This window comes from Homo sapiens, chromosome 5 (assembly GCF_000001405.40).
Source record: "Homo sapiens chromosome 5, GRCh38.p14 Primary Assembly".
Classification (NCBI taxonomy): domain Eukaryota; kingdom Metazoa; phylum Chordata; class Mammalia; order Primates; family Hominidae; genus Homo; species Homo sapiens.
This window is the reverse complement of record NC_000005.10, coordinates 142,162,588-142,180,535: the sequence shown is the minus strand read 5'-3', so window position 1 is coordinate 142,180,535 and position 17,948 is coordinate 142,162,588. Positions and strand designations below refer to the sequence as shown.

Here is a 17,948-nt window from a genome sequence, read left to right as displayed (position 1 = left end):
GTGCTGGATTACAGGCATGAGCCAACATGGCCGGCCCAAAATTCTTTTAAAATAAAGAAGTCACAGGCGTAAACCAGGCCTACCCCAGGCAACACTTTTCTACCTAAGGTGTTGAGGACAGGGAATGTTTACCCAAATTTTGGTAGATCCAAGATTAAAACCTGGAATTACCATTCAAACTTTTCCAAAAGAAATGGCCACTTCTCAACGAGAGTTTGACAACCCACTTCTCTGAGTAACATAATAAGATACATGATAAATCATAATAGCATAGAGCCTTTGCCTAATGTACCCTGGTTTCTCCTGCAGCTGCTCTGCACAGAGGCACGTGCCCTGGGGCATTTTCTGGGTGAAGCAGACACTCCCAGGGGAGAGCACAGAGATAATGCTAAATGGCCTGTTGTACAGAATGATTCCTGGCAGTGCCACTCCTTGTAAGGGGGAAGGGAGAAGGGCCTTCATCTTTTCCCAGGTGTGAGAGGGGAGGGACGAGCCAGTGGCCACTGATCTCTGGGTAGAGTCCCTTTGTGTCTTGTCTTTTGGGCTGACCCCACATGCCTCTGGGAGATGGGGGCTGGAGTAAGGGGGTGGTACTTACCGAGCTTCCCCGAGACCAGAATGTGGGCACAGGGTCCCGGTTCCCCTTTCTTCCTCCCTGCTGGCTCTGCTGTGGGATTATTTTTCAGCACAGGGACAGGTTTCAGGGCAGTGCAGGACTTAGGGGCAGCCTACTCTTACTTGGGGTGTAACTCAGTGAGCCTACACAGAAGCAGGGTTCCTCTCCTAGCTCCTCAGGTGAGGTGAACGAGTTTCTGGGATGAGGCCTTAGGAACCCCCTCTGTAACCTTGAGAAATCAGGGACAAGTGTCCGTGGGTGACCAAAACCCCTGACCTCCCAGGAAGGATGGTGTATGTGTGAAGTCAGAGATCAAAGGATCAAGTGTGGAGTCTGTTGGGAGCACTGGTTCCCTGAACTCCAGGCAGTTTTGCCAGGCCCCGTACCACAGTCCATCAAATCCAGTCAACCTTTAACTTCAATACGTAGCTTAGCTTTGTACCAAAAATAAACACTTGTGAAATAATAGATTTTGTAAATATTTTATTACATAAAGAAGATAGAAGCACTTGATAGATATGGACACGTGTATATTTTAATACATAATTATTAAACTTTAAAAAATCTTTATCCGGTCGGGCACGGTGGCTCATGCCTGTAATCCCAGCACTTTGGGAGGCCGAGGCAGGCGGATCACAAGGTCAGGAGTTCAAAACCAGCCTGGCCAATATAGTGAAACCCTGTCTCCACGAAAAATCCAAAAATTAGCGAGGTGTGGTGGTGGGCGCCTGTAGTCCCAGCTACTGTGGAGGCTGAGGCAGGAGAATCCCTTAAAACCGGGAGGTGGAGGTTGCAGTGAGCCGAGATCGCACCACTGCACTCTGGCCTGGGCGACAGAGTGAGACTCCATCTCAAAGAAAAAAAAAAATCTTTATCCATGAACCTCCCGGAACCATCTCACCATTTGGGAAACATAGGTATAGTGATCTGAACTCAGGCACCAGCAGGAGAGGGGAGGGAGAGAGCAGAGTGAGGTTGGGGAGTTGGGGAGTTACTTTCCCAGCTCCTTCCCTGCGGAGTCATCCTGGGCTGGCTGTGTCCCTCTTTCAAAGCCACAGCACCTGCCAGGGAGGCCTCCCCTTATGCCAGCCCTTATGGGGCCTGGTGCCTGCTCCCTTCCTTGCTGCTGCTTCTTTTTTTTTTTAATTGAGACAGAATCTCGCTCTGTCGCCCAGGCTGGAGGGCAGTGGCACCATCTTAACTTACTGCAACCTCCGCCTCCCAGGCTCAAGCGATCCTCTCGCCTCAGCCTCCCAAGTAGCTGGGATTATAGGTATGTGTCACCATGCCTGGCTAATTTTTGTATTTTAGTAGAGACAGGGTTTCACCATGCTGGCTAGGCTGGTCTAGAACTCCTGACCTCACATAATCCGCCCGCCTCGGCCTCCCAAAGTGCTAGGATTACAGGCGTGAGCCACTGTGCCCTGCCAAAGATTTTTTTTAACTGCTGCAATACATTTAATACCTTGCTAACACATTGTTTTGATGATTACCTAAAAATGGAAAAGTTAAAATTTCAAAAGTAACACATACCTTGTAGATAGTAACTAACTTGTCTCTCACCTTCTCTAAACTGTTTCTTTTACCGCCTGGTAACAGAGCAGCATGGTTGAATGGAGAGTGGGCTTTGATACAGACAGAACCAGTCTCCTAGACTGAAGAGCTGTGTGGCCTGGGGTAAACTGTGTAACCTATCTGAGCTTCAGTTTCCTCATCTGAAATATAGAATGATAATGTCTGTCTGTCTTCCAGAGATATTAAAGATAAGTGCATAATACGTGACCAATAAAAGATTGCTATCAGGCCAGACAATATATTGGAGCTTATTTTTACAAGTCTTTTTGGGCTGCATTGTCCTCTGCTCGGTTTCTTGTGGGCACCCGTCTCACCTCCCAAACTAGACAGTGAGCACCTTAAGGTTGCCTTCTGTCCGCTTAGCCTGAGGACGCGGCCCACAGACAATGCTCCGTGAATGTCAGGTGAGTGGTGCGTTGAAGCACCTTTGGTCCATCGTTATTATATGAAGAGGGGAAAAAATAAAGACTGGAAACATTTTTCCATTCAGGAAGAGGTTGGTGACACCAATGAGCCTTCCACAAGCAAAGTGTCAGCAGGAGAGATAATGACACTACCACCTCCAAACGCCCTTCCAGCTCATTCCAAAAATGGAAAAAACACAGGATCTGGAGATGAAGCTCGCTGTTCTCGCCTCCCTCCCCAACCTCACCCAGGGCACCAGCCCGGAATGAAAAACATTCCATATAGAGGCTTGGGAGCACGGTCTGTCCCAGGCAAGGCCCTCGGACCCATTTCTAAAGAGCTGAAGAATCACAGGAGAAAGAGAGGAAAGGGAGGAAGAGGAAACCTCAACCTTTCAGTTACATTCACTCTTCCGCCTCCTAAAGACCAAACACATTTTCCCAACTCCTTGCTCCTTACTCCTTGGAAGGCTGAGGAGGGCAGATTGCTTGAGCTCAGGAGTTCGAGACCAGTCTGGGCAACATGGCAAAACCCCGTCTCTACAAAAAATACACAAATTAGCTGGGCATAGTGGCATGCACCTGTAGTCCTAGCTCCTCAGGCAGTTGAGATGGGAGGATCACTTGAACCTGGGAAGTTGAGGCTGTAGTGAGCCAAGATCACGCCACTGCACTCCAGCCTGGGCAAAAGAGTGAGACTCTGATCAGGCATGGATGCTAGAAAGCCCTTGGGTAAAATTGGTCGTTGTGGGATCAGATATTCACACAAGGCCAGAATATCACCCTTTAAATTACTTGCTGGTTGCAAGGCGGAAAATGGACACGTAACTGCCGTGGAGGGATCAGGTGAGTCTTTTGATGTTTTGGAAGACTAAAGATCTCTCTGGTCCCACATTGTCACCTGACCTTTTTGCTACTCCTAGTTATACCTAAGTCTTTCAAAAGGCCAATAGGAGATCTAAGCTTTTTTTGTTTTTTTTGAGACGGAGTCTTGCTGTTGTCGCCCAGGCTGGGGTGCAGTGGCACAATCTTGGCTCACTGCAACCTCTGCCTCCTGGGTTCAAGCGAGTCTCCTGCCTCAGCCTCCCAAGTAGCTGGGATTACAGGCACCCACCACTACACCCAGCTAATTTTTTTTATATTTTTAGCAGAGATAGGGTTTCATCATGTTGGCCAGGCTGGTCTCGAACTCCTGACCTCGTGATCCACCGACCTCGGCCTCCCAAGGTGCTGGGATTACAGGTGTGAGCCACCGTGCCTGGCCGAGATCTAAGCTTTTTTAAAAAAAATTTTTTTTTTTTTGCAAAGTAAACTTCAAGGACTAATCCCTTTCCTGGACCTCCAGACTCTGGCTCAGAACAGAATTAAGAAGGGCAGTTCTAGAAAAAACTAGAGCCTGATGGAATAAAATAGACTCAGACCACTCCAGTCTAGAGAAGCCACACCCTGTTCTGAGTGCTGACTGCAGCCAGGCACAATCCCGAGGTCAGCTCTCAGCAGCGGCATGCACTCTGATAGCTAGAGAAACAGAATCTCAGAGAGCTGGAGTATAACAAATCTGTCCTATAACCTGCCCCAAGTGGCTCAGCTAAAGTGGGACAGATTTCAAACCTGCCTCTCTGAAAGTAGAGCCTGGATTAACTGACCATCCAAGCTTTTCTGCTTTCTGCTTTAAAAAGACTTTGGGGCTGTCATCTCCAACCAAACACATCAGCCACAGGAGTCAAGGATGGTTGATCCATTTAAAGCACTGACCAACACTTACTGTAACTCTGAATTGGGTGAGGCTTGTGCGGGAGTCAGAGGCAAAAGCCTGGTCTCTGGCCTAAAAGCGCTCATAGTCCATTTGAAGACAACACTAAGAAACATGAGATTACTAGAAGGGATAATATCCGAGATTGCATGGCACCTCCCCGGACACTGTCTTTGCACTGGCTTCCTCCTCCTGCTTCTCTGCTCATCACACTGCACTGCAATTATATGTTTACAGTGACAATGGTCTGGTTAAGCTCAGGATCTTGCCTTATCTTTATCCACTTAACACCTGCAATGCTGCCAGGGATGGAGAAAGGGTGGGAATGGGAAAGAAAGTGACTAGGTGTGCAGAGGAAATCACACCAATTCTCCACCTTATCTGCCTGGGCCGGGTCCTGGGAACGGATCATGTTATCATCCTATTCCTCTCTCTGCCACCACCATACCCGTTCCTGACTCCCTCCAGGTGGTCTGGGTTCCCTTGACTTCCTCCTGAGCTGTTACTTCTGACACAACCACACGCACAGATGCTAAGGGCTCTGCTCCAATCTGCTCCAGCCAAAGGCCACCTTCAGGTCCCTGGCCCTGCCTGGCTGTTCTGTCCTTAGGCTACTACTTTGTCAGTGCTATGCCCTATTTTCTCCAGCCCTCAGCTTCTAGGCTCTCCAGTTTTCTCCATGGGTGATGGGGCAATGAGTTGCCAGGCCGATGGGATTCAGCCCCAAGACCCAGACAAGGGGTCAGAGAGAGCAGTAGAGGCCCCCAAATCAGGATAAAGCCTCATTTGGGGACACAGCAGTGCTGCCAAGACTTTCTTGGGTCAGGCCTGCTCCCTCCACATGTCCTCTGGGCTCTGGCAGGATAAGAGCATGACAATGGCTGGGCCAGTTTCTTGGTACACAAGCCCCAAAGACCTGGGTTTCCCCTGACTCTCCCTAGCAGCCAAATAACCTCTTGAAGTCCTGGTGCAACTGTTATTCTGATTGAGGGGGCAAATGAGCAAATTGAAACCTTAGAGGCAGCACCTGTTCCCAAGGAAAAACCCCCCCCTCCCCCACCGTTGGCGCTCCTGCTGGCTGGGATTTCATTTTCAGTGTGGGCAGGCTGCTCAGTGCCACGTTTTCCTCCTTCCTCCCCAGGGATGGTGGTGAAAACGCATGATTTGCAGGCTCCCACATGGCTGCAGTGACTCCATGTGTTTTTTCACTGCATATTCTCATTGTCACCTTTTTGGTGTCCTATAACCTGCACATATTGCCAAAATCCAATCTTGCCTTCCAAAGCTTTTTCAAATTTTGATCAATCAGGTCAAAATTATTAGTATCACAATCAAAAGAGTATCTGAAAAGTTAAAGCTGAAAAAATTTGAAAAGCACAAAACCTGAATTCTATCCTTTTTTTTTTCTGAGACAGAGTCTCGCTCTGTCTCCCAGGCTGGGAGTGCACTAGCACAATCTCTCAGCTCACTGCAAACTCTGCCTGCCAGGTTTAAGCAATTCCCCTGCCTCAGCCTCCCACGTAGCTGTGATTACAGGCGTGCACCACCACACCTAGCTAATTTTTGTGTTTTTACTAGAGACAGGGTTTCCCTATGTTGGCCAGGCTAGTCTCAAACTCCTGGCCTCAAGTGATCTGCCTGCCTCGGACTCCCAAAGTGCTGGGATTACAGGCGTGAGCCACCACGCCCAGCCTCTGTCCTTGTTTTTAAAGCTATACTACAAATTTCTGGTCTTTGTATTTTTTGTTGTTTTTGTTGAATTTTTTTTTTTTAAACAAAACAGGATCTCACCCTGTCATCCAGGCTGGAGTACAGTGGCACAATCATGGCTCACTGCAGCCTCAACTTTCTGAGCTCAGGCAGTCCTCCCACCTCAGCCTCCCGAGTAGCTGGAACTATAGGTGTGCACCACCATGGCCCACTAAGTTTTTAAAAATGTTTTGTAGAGATGGGGTCTCACTATGTTGCCCAGGCTGCTCTTGAACTCCTGGGCTCAAGCTATCCTCCCATCTCAGCCTCCCAAAGTGCTGGGATTATAGGCATGAGCCACTGCACCCAGCCTAAAGCTGTACTCCAACTTTCTGGAATGTGTACTTGAGTTTGAGGCTGAACAATTCTGAGGTGATACAGTCTGGATCTGTGTCCTCACCAAATCTCATGTTGAATTGTGGTATCCAATGTTGAAGGTGAGACCCGGTGGGAGGTGATTGGATTATAGGAGTGTTTCTCATGAATGGGTTGGCACCATCCCCTTGGTGCTGTTCTCCTGATGGTGAGTGAGTTCTCGAAAGATCTAGTTGTTTAAAAGTGTGCGGCACCTCCCCTCTCCCTCCCCCCACCCCCATTCTCCAACACCTTCTCCTGCTCCTGCCATGTTAAGACGTCTGCTCCCCCTTTGCCTTCCACCATGATTGGAAGCCTCCTGAGGCCTCCCCAGAAGCAGAGGCTGCTATGCTTCCTGTACAGCCTGCGGAACTGTGAGCCAATTAAACCTCTTTTCTTTATAAATTACTCAGTCTCAGGTATTTCTCTTTTTTTCTTTTTTCTTTTTTCTTTTGAGACGGAGTCTCACTCTGTCACCAGGCTGGAGTGCAGTAGCGCAATCTTGGCTTACTACAAGCTCCACCTCTGGGGTTCAAGCGATTCTCCTGCCTCAGCCTCCTGAGTAGCTGAGACTACAGGCACGCACCACCACACCCAGCTAATTTTTGTATTTTTAGTAGAGACAGGGTTTCACCGTGTTGGCCAGGTTGGTCTTGATCTCTTGCCTCGTGATCTGCCTGCCTCAGGCTCCCAAAGTGCTGGGATTACAGGCGTGAGCCACCGCACCCGGCCCCAAGTCTCAGGTATTTCTTTATAGCAATGCGAAAATGGACTAATATATGAGGTTACACATTTATATTGATCGGGGTGTAGAAAATACTACCCCAAAATGTGGCACTTTGGCATACTGAGTATTTTAAACTGAAAGAAATTGAGAAAATCTCAGAAGCAGAAGTCTTTCTGACCTTTTCTCTCTCTTTTTTTTTTTTTCTGAGACTGAGTCTTGCCCCGTTGCCCCAGGCTGGAGTGCAGTGGTGCGATCTTGGCTCACTGCAAGCTCCGCCTCCTGGGTTCAGGCCATTCTCCTGCCTCAGCCTCCCAAGTAGCTGGGACTACAGGCACCCACAACCATGCCCGGTAATTCTTTGTATTTTTAGTAGAGACGGGGTTTCACCATGTTAGCCAGGATGGTCTCGATCTCCTGACCTCATGATCTGCCCGCCTCAGCCTCCCAAAGTGCTGGGATTACAGGCATGAGCCACCTCGCCTGGCCTCTGACCTTTTCTCTTGAAGAGCCTTATTTGACAAGTGTTCTGCCCTATACCTGGAAGAAAGGACTATTACACAGAGAGGCCAAGAGAAATCTGAACAAACAGGCTAGTTTGTTACCTTTAGATCATACCCTTTTGACCTCCAATCATATTTCTGCACAACTGTCCATAAAAATACAGTTTTCAGTCAGGTGCGGTGGCTCACACCTGTAATCCCAGCATTTTGGGAGGTCAAGGCAGGTGTATCACTTGAAATCAGGAGTTTGAGACCAGCCTGGTCTCAAAGTGAAGCCCCATCTCTATGAAAAATACAAAACTTAGCTGCGTGTGGTGGTGCATGCTGTAGCCCTGGCTACTTGGAAGGCTGAGGCAGGAGAATGGCTTCAACCCCGGAGGTGGAGGTTGCAGTGAGCCAAGATCATGCCAGACTGGGCGACAGAGAGAATCCATCTCAAAAATAAAATAAAACATAATGAAATAAAATAAAAATACAGTTTTCCCTGGGTCGGGTCTTCATTTCTTTCTTTTTTTTTTTTTTATGAGATGGAGTTTCACTCTTGTTGCCCAGGCTAGAATGGTGCAATCTTGGCTCACTGCAACCTCCACCTCCCGGTTCAAGCGATTCTCCTGCCTCAGCCTCCTGAGTAGCTGGGACTACAGGCACCCGCCACCACGCCCGGCTAATTTTGTATTTTTAGTAGATACGGGGTTTTCCATGTTGGTCAGGCTGGTCTCAAACTCCCGACCTCAGGTGATCTGCTTGCCTCAGCCTCCCAAAGTGCTAGGATTACAGGTGTGAGCCACTGCACCCGGCAGGGTCTTCATATTTGAATGCTCCTGCATCACGCAAAACTTTGGTTAAACACATTCGTTGTTTTTCTATTGTTAATCTGTCTTTTGTTATAAGGGTGTTGGCCATAAACCTTGAGATAGGTGAGGAATATATATCCCTTTTCTTTCCTTATCCCTTTTCTTCCCTACAATATTCATTCAAGACATTCAAACTGAGAAAGTCAGTTCAAAATAATAAACTTTCGAAGTTGTGTCTTACCCCAAGAGACAAATACTTAATGTACCCCATTAGTTCTATTTTTTATTGTATGAATTCATACAAAACTATTCTGACAATGATCAAGGATGTTTCCAGGACCTGCTCTCACACGTTCCCTCACCCCCACCAGCTTTTGGCAAAGATAGTTGACTAAATACCACTAAATAGTGGCTTTTTTTTTTTAACAATGACCTTATTTTATCTTTTAACTTTAACTGAGTCTTATATACAGACCTGCCCAACTGGAAAGCTTTTACACATGCTTCAGAATGCGGCAGTATTGCACAATGGTTTGGGGCAGGTTCTGTGGTTAAACATGGGATGGAACCCCAGCTCTACCTGGCTCAGCTGTACGGCCCTGAGCAAGTGACTCAACATTCCTACACATGGGGACCCCCGCTGGAAAATGGAGATGGTAACAGGTACCAGCCTCACACCTAGGAGGCGCTCACTTCATGCTCACTGCTAAGTTTCTTCTGTTTGTCCTGACTTTATAGCTTTCCCTAATTGCAATTCCCTGCTACAAACATCACAGATGGAGAACACATGGAGGGAACAAATGTTAGGTAGCCTGCTGAACCCTAGGGCCAAGTTCACCAGTAATCCTACTAGATTTTAGCATCATAATTCCTCTATCTGGCATGGCTCCACCATCAGGGCCCAGATGACCAAAGACACCCAGGAAGGGAATGAAGACTTCCTGTTGTTTAAAACTGTCCTTCTGTCTGTACTTCACTGCCCTCAGCAAACTGCCACTCCACAGCCATATGATCCTGATTCACTTCCTCTGCTTCCACAGCCAACATCTTCTCAGCACCAGAGAGAAACCTAATTCGCCCTTACTCCTGGGTTGCTTTCCATGTTGTCCTCAAGGTGCCTCGGGCATGGGCCACCAGTAAGGATTCACCCAGTGAGGATTCAGCTGTCACCTAGAAACTCGAAGTCTTCTCCCCATTGAAAGCTGTTGAGCTCACCTAGGCAGGCTCAAACCAGCTGACATCTGCCCTTTCAGCTAAAAACCTGCTTGCCGCAATAATCAAGATATTTCCACAACATAACTTGATGGGGAGGGGAGGGGACATTAATCACAGATTATTAAATGATGGTACGGTCAGGTGATGGAATATGACTCAGCCACTTAAAACAATCTGACTAGAGACTATGAAAAAAGATGTTCAAGACAAGAGGAGTGAAACAAAAAGCAGAGTCAAAAGAGTTTGCACAGGTGCTCTGGACTGAATTGCATCCCCCCAAATTCATGTGTTGAAGCCCAGGCCCCCTCAACATGACTGTAATTGGAGGCAGGGCCTGTGAGAAGGTGATAAAGGTTAAACGAGCTGGGATCCTAATCCCATAGGGTTAGTGCCCTTATAAGGAGAGGAAGACACATCAGAGCTCTCTCTCTGCCATGTGAGAAGGCCGCCATCTGCAAGCCAGGAAGAGAGGCCTCACCAGGAGCCAAATCAGCTGGCACCTTGATCTTGGACTTCTCAGCCTCCAGAACTGTGAGAAAATAACTTTCTGTTGCTTAAGGCACCTAGTCTGTGGTATTTTGTTATGGCAGCCCAAATTGACTAATGAGACAGTGAAATGCAATTTAAAAGTTAAAAAAAAAAATTTCCCCTGCATGTGTGTTTATCTATTTTCTACCTGTATACATATGCAGGCACTGAAAACAGACTAGAAGTAGATACACCAAAATGTTCACAGGGGTAATCAGTGCATGGTGGAGTTAGGGATAATTATTTTATTCATTTTGCCTGTCAGTATTTTCAATAATGGCCATGCATTACTTTTAGAGATGGGGGGAATTAACTCTAGAAGAACATTAAAGCTTGCCTCTCCCCTCACGTCTTCTTTGGCTTGAGTCACATCTCACAGAGAGAAAGACCAAGGCACGCTGCACCAATGAGCTCCCCGAAGTCATGCTTCCCCTCCCATGTCGTGCTGGCATCCTTTCTCCGAGGAAGAGAATGAGTTTCCAGACAGCAGAGCGGGCCCTTCTCAGGGCCAGGATGGTCCTGGCAGCAGTCGTTCTCTAACACATCACGACATGTGTTTCCAGTAACTCTGTTTGTGGCCGCTTTCTTCTCTTATCACTCCTCCTGTGACCTTTGCTGGTTGCAGACTTACCGACTGGAGCCAGGTGGATTTGTTTGATTTTTGTTGATGGTTATTAGGAAGAGGAAGTGCCAGAAGGGATTACCTCAAGTTTAAACCTATTTCCAGCAGAGTCCCAGGGCCTTTAATTACACATGTTGGGTCTGTTTGGTAAAGAAGTGGTCAAAGATGTGCTTTTTATCTCCCTAGGAATCTCCTGCGACTGGCAGCATTCCATTTGTGCCTGATGTTCCTGTAAACTCCAGCCACAACCCCTGTGGGGAGGAGGGGCTGCTGTGGAGAATGAGATATGAAGTTGAAAGCTGGTGAGAGACTTTTTTTTTTTTTTTTTTTTTTTTGAGACGGAGTTTCTCTCTTGTTACCCAGGCTGGAGTGCAATGGCGCAATCTTGGCTCACTGCAACCTCTGCCTCCCAGCTTCAAGCAATTCTCCTGCCTCAGCCTCCTGAGTTGCTGGGATTACAGGCATGTGCCATCACACCTGGCTAATTTTGTATTTTTAGTAGAGATGGGGTTTCTCCATGTTGGTCAGGCTGGTATTGAACTCCCAACCTCAGGTGATCCACCTGCCTTGGCCTCTCAAAGTGCTGGGATTACAGGCGTGAGCCACCATGCCCGGCCACGTATCTGGGAGTTAAAACCACCATATCTGGGAGTTCTTGGCCAGGCCGTGTCATATTGTCATTCCTGACAATAGAGGAAGATTAGAACTGCACCTGACAATAGAGGAAGATTAGAACTGCATCAGAATTTTGTTTTCTGGACCACACTATTGCAGTCCCCAGAAGAGTGTCACGGGTCAGCCACTGCTGAACACAAGGATGAGGACAGTCGGAATGCTAAATGCCCAGCCCAGCCCACCCAGCCCAGTCCAAAAGCAGCCTTTTTTTTCCTTTTTCTTTTCTTTTTTTTTTCTTAGTGAAATAGTAACAGACTATAGGGAGGCAATAGCTGTCTCTGGGACTATCAAGACACCAGCTCAGCTGCGCAGCAGACAAATGTCACTTTTCTGATACAGGTGGCCCTAATCAGAGAGATCCTACTACAGCTGGTGCTCAAAAATAACCTTTCCCCCTCTCTGATTTACCCAGGCAAGTGAAAGAAGACAGACTCCAGGATTACATTCTCCAGAGCATGAGTATGTTGCTCTTCTTTATCTAACTTGCTGGTTAGAGGGATTGTCAAATTATAAAGTTGGTTAAGGTCCAAGATTAAAAAGTTTAATATGTAAAATGCAATTTTATTGGGGAGGATAATGAGGATGCTTCGTTACTGAGGGTCTTGGCATATTTTGGAGTAACCGAGAGTCAATAAATTAGGAACTATTCCTCAGATGCTTTTATTAAAGACATAGCAATATAGGTCAAATGCACGTACAATTTCAGATAATAAGATTCCAAATTTTCCTTCAGCTTATGCCCCAGAGGGTATGGAATTTAGAGAGGAACATTTAGTTAAAACGGAAACATGAACAAGTGGGCTTTTCGTTAGAGGCCTTTTTCATCCTAGGCTGAGGGACCTTACTGCACAATTCTGCCCCTGGAAGGTTACTTCATCCACAACCCTCAATATCCCAGCAATATCCTTTCAGCAAGAGCACACAGAACACAGATTCTTGCCCCAGTCGCTGGAATCCTTCAACCCCCTCAAGGAGGGCTAAGCAACATTCTTTTTCTTGGCATCATTGCCTCATTAGAGCAACTAAAACAGGTCCTGAAAGATACAGGGCATGGCCTCCACCATAAGAGTGCCTTCCCTGGAGTCAAACCCAGCCTCCTCTCTGATGCTCTTAGCACCACTCTCCATGACCCTAGCCTGTCCCTGTGCCAGAAGGGCTGTCTGGGGTGGGTGGCATGAGGGGGTATTTTAGTTTACCCACAATTCTGCTGCAATATAGACATGTAGTCTTTAAATCACATATTAGGGTTTTTTAAAGCATGGCACCAATACACTGATGGCACTCTACATGATATTAAGTAGTATTAAAACATAGCTTTTTTTTTTTTTTTTTTTGAGATGAAGTCTCCCTCTGTTGCCCAGGCTGGAGTACAGCGGTGCAAATCTCGGCTCACTGCAACCTCCGCCTTCCAGGTTCAAGCGATTCTTCTCCTCTGCCACCCGAGTAGCTGAGGCTACAGGCACGCACCACCACACCTGGCTAATGCATTTTTCATTTTAATGGTTATGTAGTTATTTTAGTGTGGATTCAAGAAAAAAATTAGCACATCAATGGTTTTTCCATGGCTATTATTTAGGAATGAGGGTAAGAAATAACACATTTAATTAAAAATTTTAAATGGTAGGTAACTTAATAGCATAGGTGATATATAAATAGGGCAAAATTCATGAAGGCTACACTTTGGGGAAAAGATGGCTACAGTTTAGGAAAAAGAGCCACCCATCCCACTCTGTGGCAGTTGGACAAATTAACCAATGTATATGAAACACTTGATAAGTATATTAAAATGCCAAAGACAGCCTTCCACAGTGCTAACAGACATGGAATCAGAAAGTTGAAGTTCCGATCATAGCTCTATCATTTACTTAGCTCTGTGATCATGGGCAAATTATAACTCTTTTAGAAATAAAAATTCCTATCTCATAAGATTTTCTGAGAATTAAATGTGATAACATTTATAAAGCATTTAGCACAGCACCTGGCATATAGCAAGTGCTTAGAAAGTAGGAGTGATTATAATTGCAAAGGCCTCATTTCTAAAGTAGGCTACCCATGTATCTGCCCTGAAGATTACCCTCAAAGAAGATGCAGCCCGAATAGTACAAGAACATTTAGTCCTTTGATTCATAGGTCAGCTGCCAGAGAAATATGCACGCAGACGCATTTGCAAACCCCAAAATTGCATACAATTTTAAGACATTAACAGGCCCCCAATTGACACCTCCTTTAACCATAACCCGCACTGACTATACACCTGGTAAACTAAGATGGAAAACCAGGGTAACAAGAGGTATCTCCAACTACTTCCACCATAGGGAGGCCTGGACTCATCCCACCTTCCGGGTGCATTCCTAAGACTGACTGGTTCTCTTTGGGTGCCTCTTAGTACACAGGCTATCACAGCTTTATTCTCTATGTGGGCAGAATGCAAATAAGGTCTTGAGGGCCCCCCCGACACCCTCATCCCCAGTAACTGGCTTGTTCTCCCTGCCCTGGCTCAGCGTAGTACAGCCCAACCTTGCAATTTAACTCAGTGCTGATGGAGTTGGGTAAACTGAAGTGCCTAGCAAATGTACGTGGAAAACCATGGTCCCTGATAAGCTGCTGATACGGTGTGCTTGTGCTTCCGCCAGTTCTATTTAAACACTGATAGGCCCTTGGGCAAACAAGAAGCCTTTTGTGCTCTGAGCATCCACAACTGCCATCCTGAGCCCAATCTGGACATGAGCAAGCCTCACAGTGGGTGGAAGTGAGGGTGGGGAAGAGACAAACTTTTCCTGCATTTTATCAGATACATGCACACAGGCAAGACCAAGCTGATCTTCAAACCTGGGGGCCCCAATCTTTCCCCACACTCCCTACCCTACCTCACAGTGATCTCTTAACAATGGAGATTTAGAAAAATTTTTCTTTTTCTTTTTTTTTTTTTTTTGAGTCGGAGTCTGGCTCTGTCGCCCAGGCTGGAGTGCAGTGGCACAATCTCGGCTCACTGCAAGCTCTGCCTGCCGGGTTCAGGCCATTCTTCTGCTTCAGCATCCTGAGTAGCTGGGACTACAGGCTCCCGCCACTACGCCCGGCTAATTTTTTTTGTATTTTTAGTAGAGACGGGGTTTCACCGTGTTAGCCAGGATGGTCTTGATCTCCTGACCTCGTGATCCACCCACCTCTGCCTCCCAAAGTGCTGGGATTACAGGCGTGAGCCACCGCGCCCGGCCTAGAAAAAATTTTCTAGAAAATGCACTGTAGTGTTTGTAAAGTTCTACTTTTTTTTTTTTTTTTTTGAGATGGAGTCTCACTTTGGAGTGCAGCAGTGTGATCTCTACTCACTGCGAACTCTACCTCCTGGGTTCAAGTTTCTCCTGCCTGAGCTTCCCAAGTAGCTGGGACTACAAACGTGTGCCACCATGCCCAACTAATTTTTGTATTTTTAGTAGAGATGGGGTTTCACCATGTTGGCCGGGCTGGTTTCGAACTCCTGACCTCAGGTGATCTGCCCACCTCGGCCTCCCAAAGTGCTGGGATTACAGATGTGAGCCATCAGGCCCAGGCTGTAAAGTTGTACTTTTGAATTTAATTTTTTTTTCTTGAATATTAATGTGGATTAGAGACTTGCTCATGAAAATTTGATTCTGGCCAGGCAGTTTGGTCATCACCTGGGAAGTTTTTACAAATGCAGAATCACAAGCCCCAGCCTAGACCTCCTAAACTATTACCTGCATTTTATTAAGCTTCCCAGGTAGTTTGTAGGCATATTAAAGTGTGAGAAGGACTAGATTCGAGCATTTATGTATAAGGCTACTAGAAAGGTATATTGATAACAGTAAATGATTATAGCTTCCTTTCAGATTTGCAACAGATTTTGATCTAAATATTGAGTATAAAAAATAAAAGTTAAATTTAAAGGATGAGACTGATAACAATCATAACTTCTCAAATCTAAATGAATATTTCCTGCAGATAAGTCAATATATATGACCTCAACTGGGCAGCTTTACTCACTCTTCTCTAACATAAAGACACGCTCTTCCCATGAAGGTTCACATCTGTATACATTACAATTGCTGGCATTTTAAGAGGCTAATGAAACACTCTATTTTGCGCTATTGACAGAAGGCAGATTTCTAAAAATCAGAGTTAAGATGTTCCATAATAAACACGGGTTAACTTTGTAAAATAAAAAGGGGTGGGGGCAGGGATGATGGTAGGGGGAGAAGTATTGGTTAGTGGTCAAGAATGCCTTGATTTGGATTCTTGCTCCGTCCACCGGGTGACCTGACCTCTCTGGGAGCCAGCTCCTTTAGTGTAAAATAGGGATAATAGCGCTGTTGCTGTTCAATTCTGGAGGGTTAAAAGATTCTGCGTGAAAAGGACTGTAGCAGCACTTGAACACAATAAATGTTGAATAAATGTAAGCTATTAATATGAAATTAGAATTGAAATCCTGTCTCGAGATACCATTTTGCTTAATTGAGAGAACTTGTCATGTCTCTGTCCAGCACTTGATCTGACTCTTAGCTAGAAAGGTTCATACTATCAGCTGTGCCTATCTCACTGGCTTAGAGAAAGGATAAAAAAAAACCCTGCAGTACAAGCTGGGGGTGGCGGTGGGGGCACTGAAGCCACGCTCCAGGTGAGGTGGGGAGGCACACTGATGGAGGGGTATGAGCCCACTTCATGGGGAACATGCACAAAGAAGAAAACATCTCAGGCTGCTGTGGGAGGGCAGATGTCCTGTGCCTGCAGTCCAGAATCCCCCTCATTCCCACCTTCAATAAAGGGAATCCTGTGGGAAGAGAAAGGAATGTGTTAAAGTGTAGATCAAGAAGGGACAGGAGAATAAAAAGAAATGGAAGCAGGTGCACACACAGGAAAGATGATGAGTGTTCTATTGTTGTTAAAGAGTTCATGCTCTAACAACACAAACCAAATTAATCCCAGCCTCCCCACTTAAGGACGGTAAGGGGCAAGTCAGTTAACATGAGTCTCCATTTTTTTAAAAATATACAACAAGGATCACAGTATTCCCTACCTCAAAGGGTTGGGGAGATGATTAAATCTACCTGTGAAGAAGAAAGCAGAGTACTTCGCACATGATAAATGCTCAATAAATGGTATTCATTACTATCCATCTATGATACGCATCTGCAACACAAAAATACACATGTTTACTGTAGGTTTAATCCCAGGGTCAAGGAATTTGATGTGAACTTCCAATCAACAGAGAAACCAGGTCTCTTCTGGATGCCCTATGGATGAAAGAAGACCAAGGGTATAGGACGCCTTTGTCATAATTGTTGCAACAGTCTAATTATTCCTCTTGGCAATGAAGCAATGGAAAAAAGAGGTATTAGAAGTTGGCTTTAAAAACACCATCATCGGCTGGGCGCGGTGGCTCAAGCCTGTAATCCTAGCACTTTGGGACGCCGAGGCGGGCGGATCACGAGGTCAGGAGATTGAGACCACGGTGAAACCCCGTCTCTACTAAAAATACAAAAAATTAGCCGAGTGTGGTAGCGGGCGCCTGTAGTCCCAGCTACTCAGGAGGCTGAGGCAGGAGAATGGCGTGAACTCGGGAGGCGGAGCTTGCAGTGAGCCGAGATTGCGCCACTGCACTCCAGCCTGGACGACAGAGCGAAACTCCTTCTCAAAAAAAAAAAAAAAAAAAATCATCGAGGCCAGTTGTGGTGGCTCACACCTGTAATCCCAGCACTTGGGGAGGCCGAGGAGGGCGGATCGCTTGAGGTCAGGAGTTCGAGACCAACCTGGCCAAAATGGTGAAGCTCCGTCTCTACTAAACATATAAAAATTAGCCGAGTGTGGTGACGGGCGCCTATAATCCCAGCTACACGGGAGACTGAGGCAGAAGAATCACTTGAACCAGGGAAGTGGAGGTTGCAGTGAGCCGAGAAGGCACCATTGCATTCCAGCCTGGGCAACAAGAGTGAAACTCAGTCTCAAAAAACAAAAACAAAAACATCATGGGGCATTTGTCAGAACGAGCTGAAAAGCAGAAAAAGACAAGATAATCTACACTGCAGCAAAGACTATTTAAAAAATTTAACATCTGATATAAACAGAATGGCTTAAGAGACCTCATCTCACTGGGCTGTGCCAGTATGCTAGTACTACCTATGTAAAAATAATAAATTCACAAAAACAAGTCTGAAAAAGAACAAACAGTTGATTTTTGGAGATAGTAGGCTTAGAAAGTGACTTTTTAGATGTGCTCATAAGTTTTGCAAAATCAGGGCATTTTGAAACCCCTGTAAGATTGACGGAGGAAAAAAAATGTATAACGGTCTAACAGTTTTAGGCAAAGTAAGAGATGAGTGTTTACTTAGGGCAGTGGTTTTCAAGCCATTTTTTTTTCAGCTGCAGAACCCTTTTTGTAAAACAAAATCTGAGATCCCAAATACTCTGAGTAAATTTATTTATA

The 17,948-nt window shown here is 46.1% G+C and overlaps 2 long non-coding RNA genes across 2 annotated transcripts in view, besides 1 other annotated feature; one reads left to right on the top strand and one right to left on the bottom strand.

Moving 5' to 3' along the window:
- Nucleotides 1–17,948, top strand: part of LOC107986455 (uncharacterized) — a 38,651-nt gene that overhangs the window by 12,526 nt on the left and 8,177 nt on the right. Inside the window, exon 2 of the long non-coding RNA XR_001742907.3 lies at nucleotides 11,024–11,139. This is a non-coding gene — a long non-coding RNA (uncharacterized LOC107986455). The remainder of the gene's footprint in view (nucleotides 1–11,023; nucleotides 11,140–17,948) is intronic.
- Nucleotides 5,278–5,572: a silencer, noted in NCBI's record as "tiled region #837; K562 Repressive non-DNase unmatched - State 21:Repr". NCBI's record gives its function as "represses a minimal TATA promoter and a strong SV40 promoter by Sharpr-MPRA in K562 cells {active_cell/tissue: K562}" and the evidence as "EXISTENCE:reporter gene assay evidence [ECO:0000049][PMID:27701403]".
- LOC124901096 (uncharacterized) lies at nucleotides 12,149–16,962 on the bottom strand. Its single transcript, XR_007058978.1, has 2 exons — nucleotides 16,573–16,962; nucleotides 12,149–16,295 (listed from the first exon to the last, which is right to left on the bottom strand). It is a non-coding gene; the product is annotated as an uncharacterized LOC124901096 (long non-coding RNA).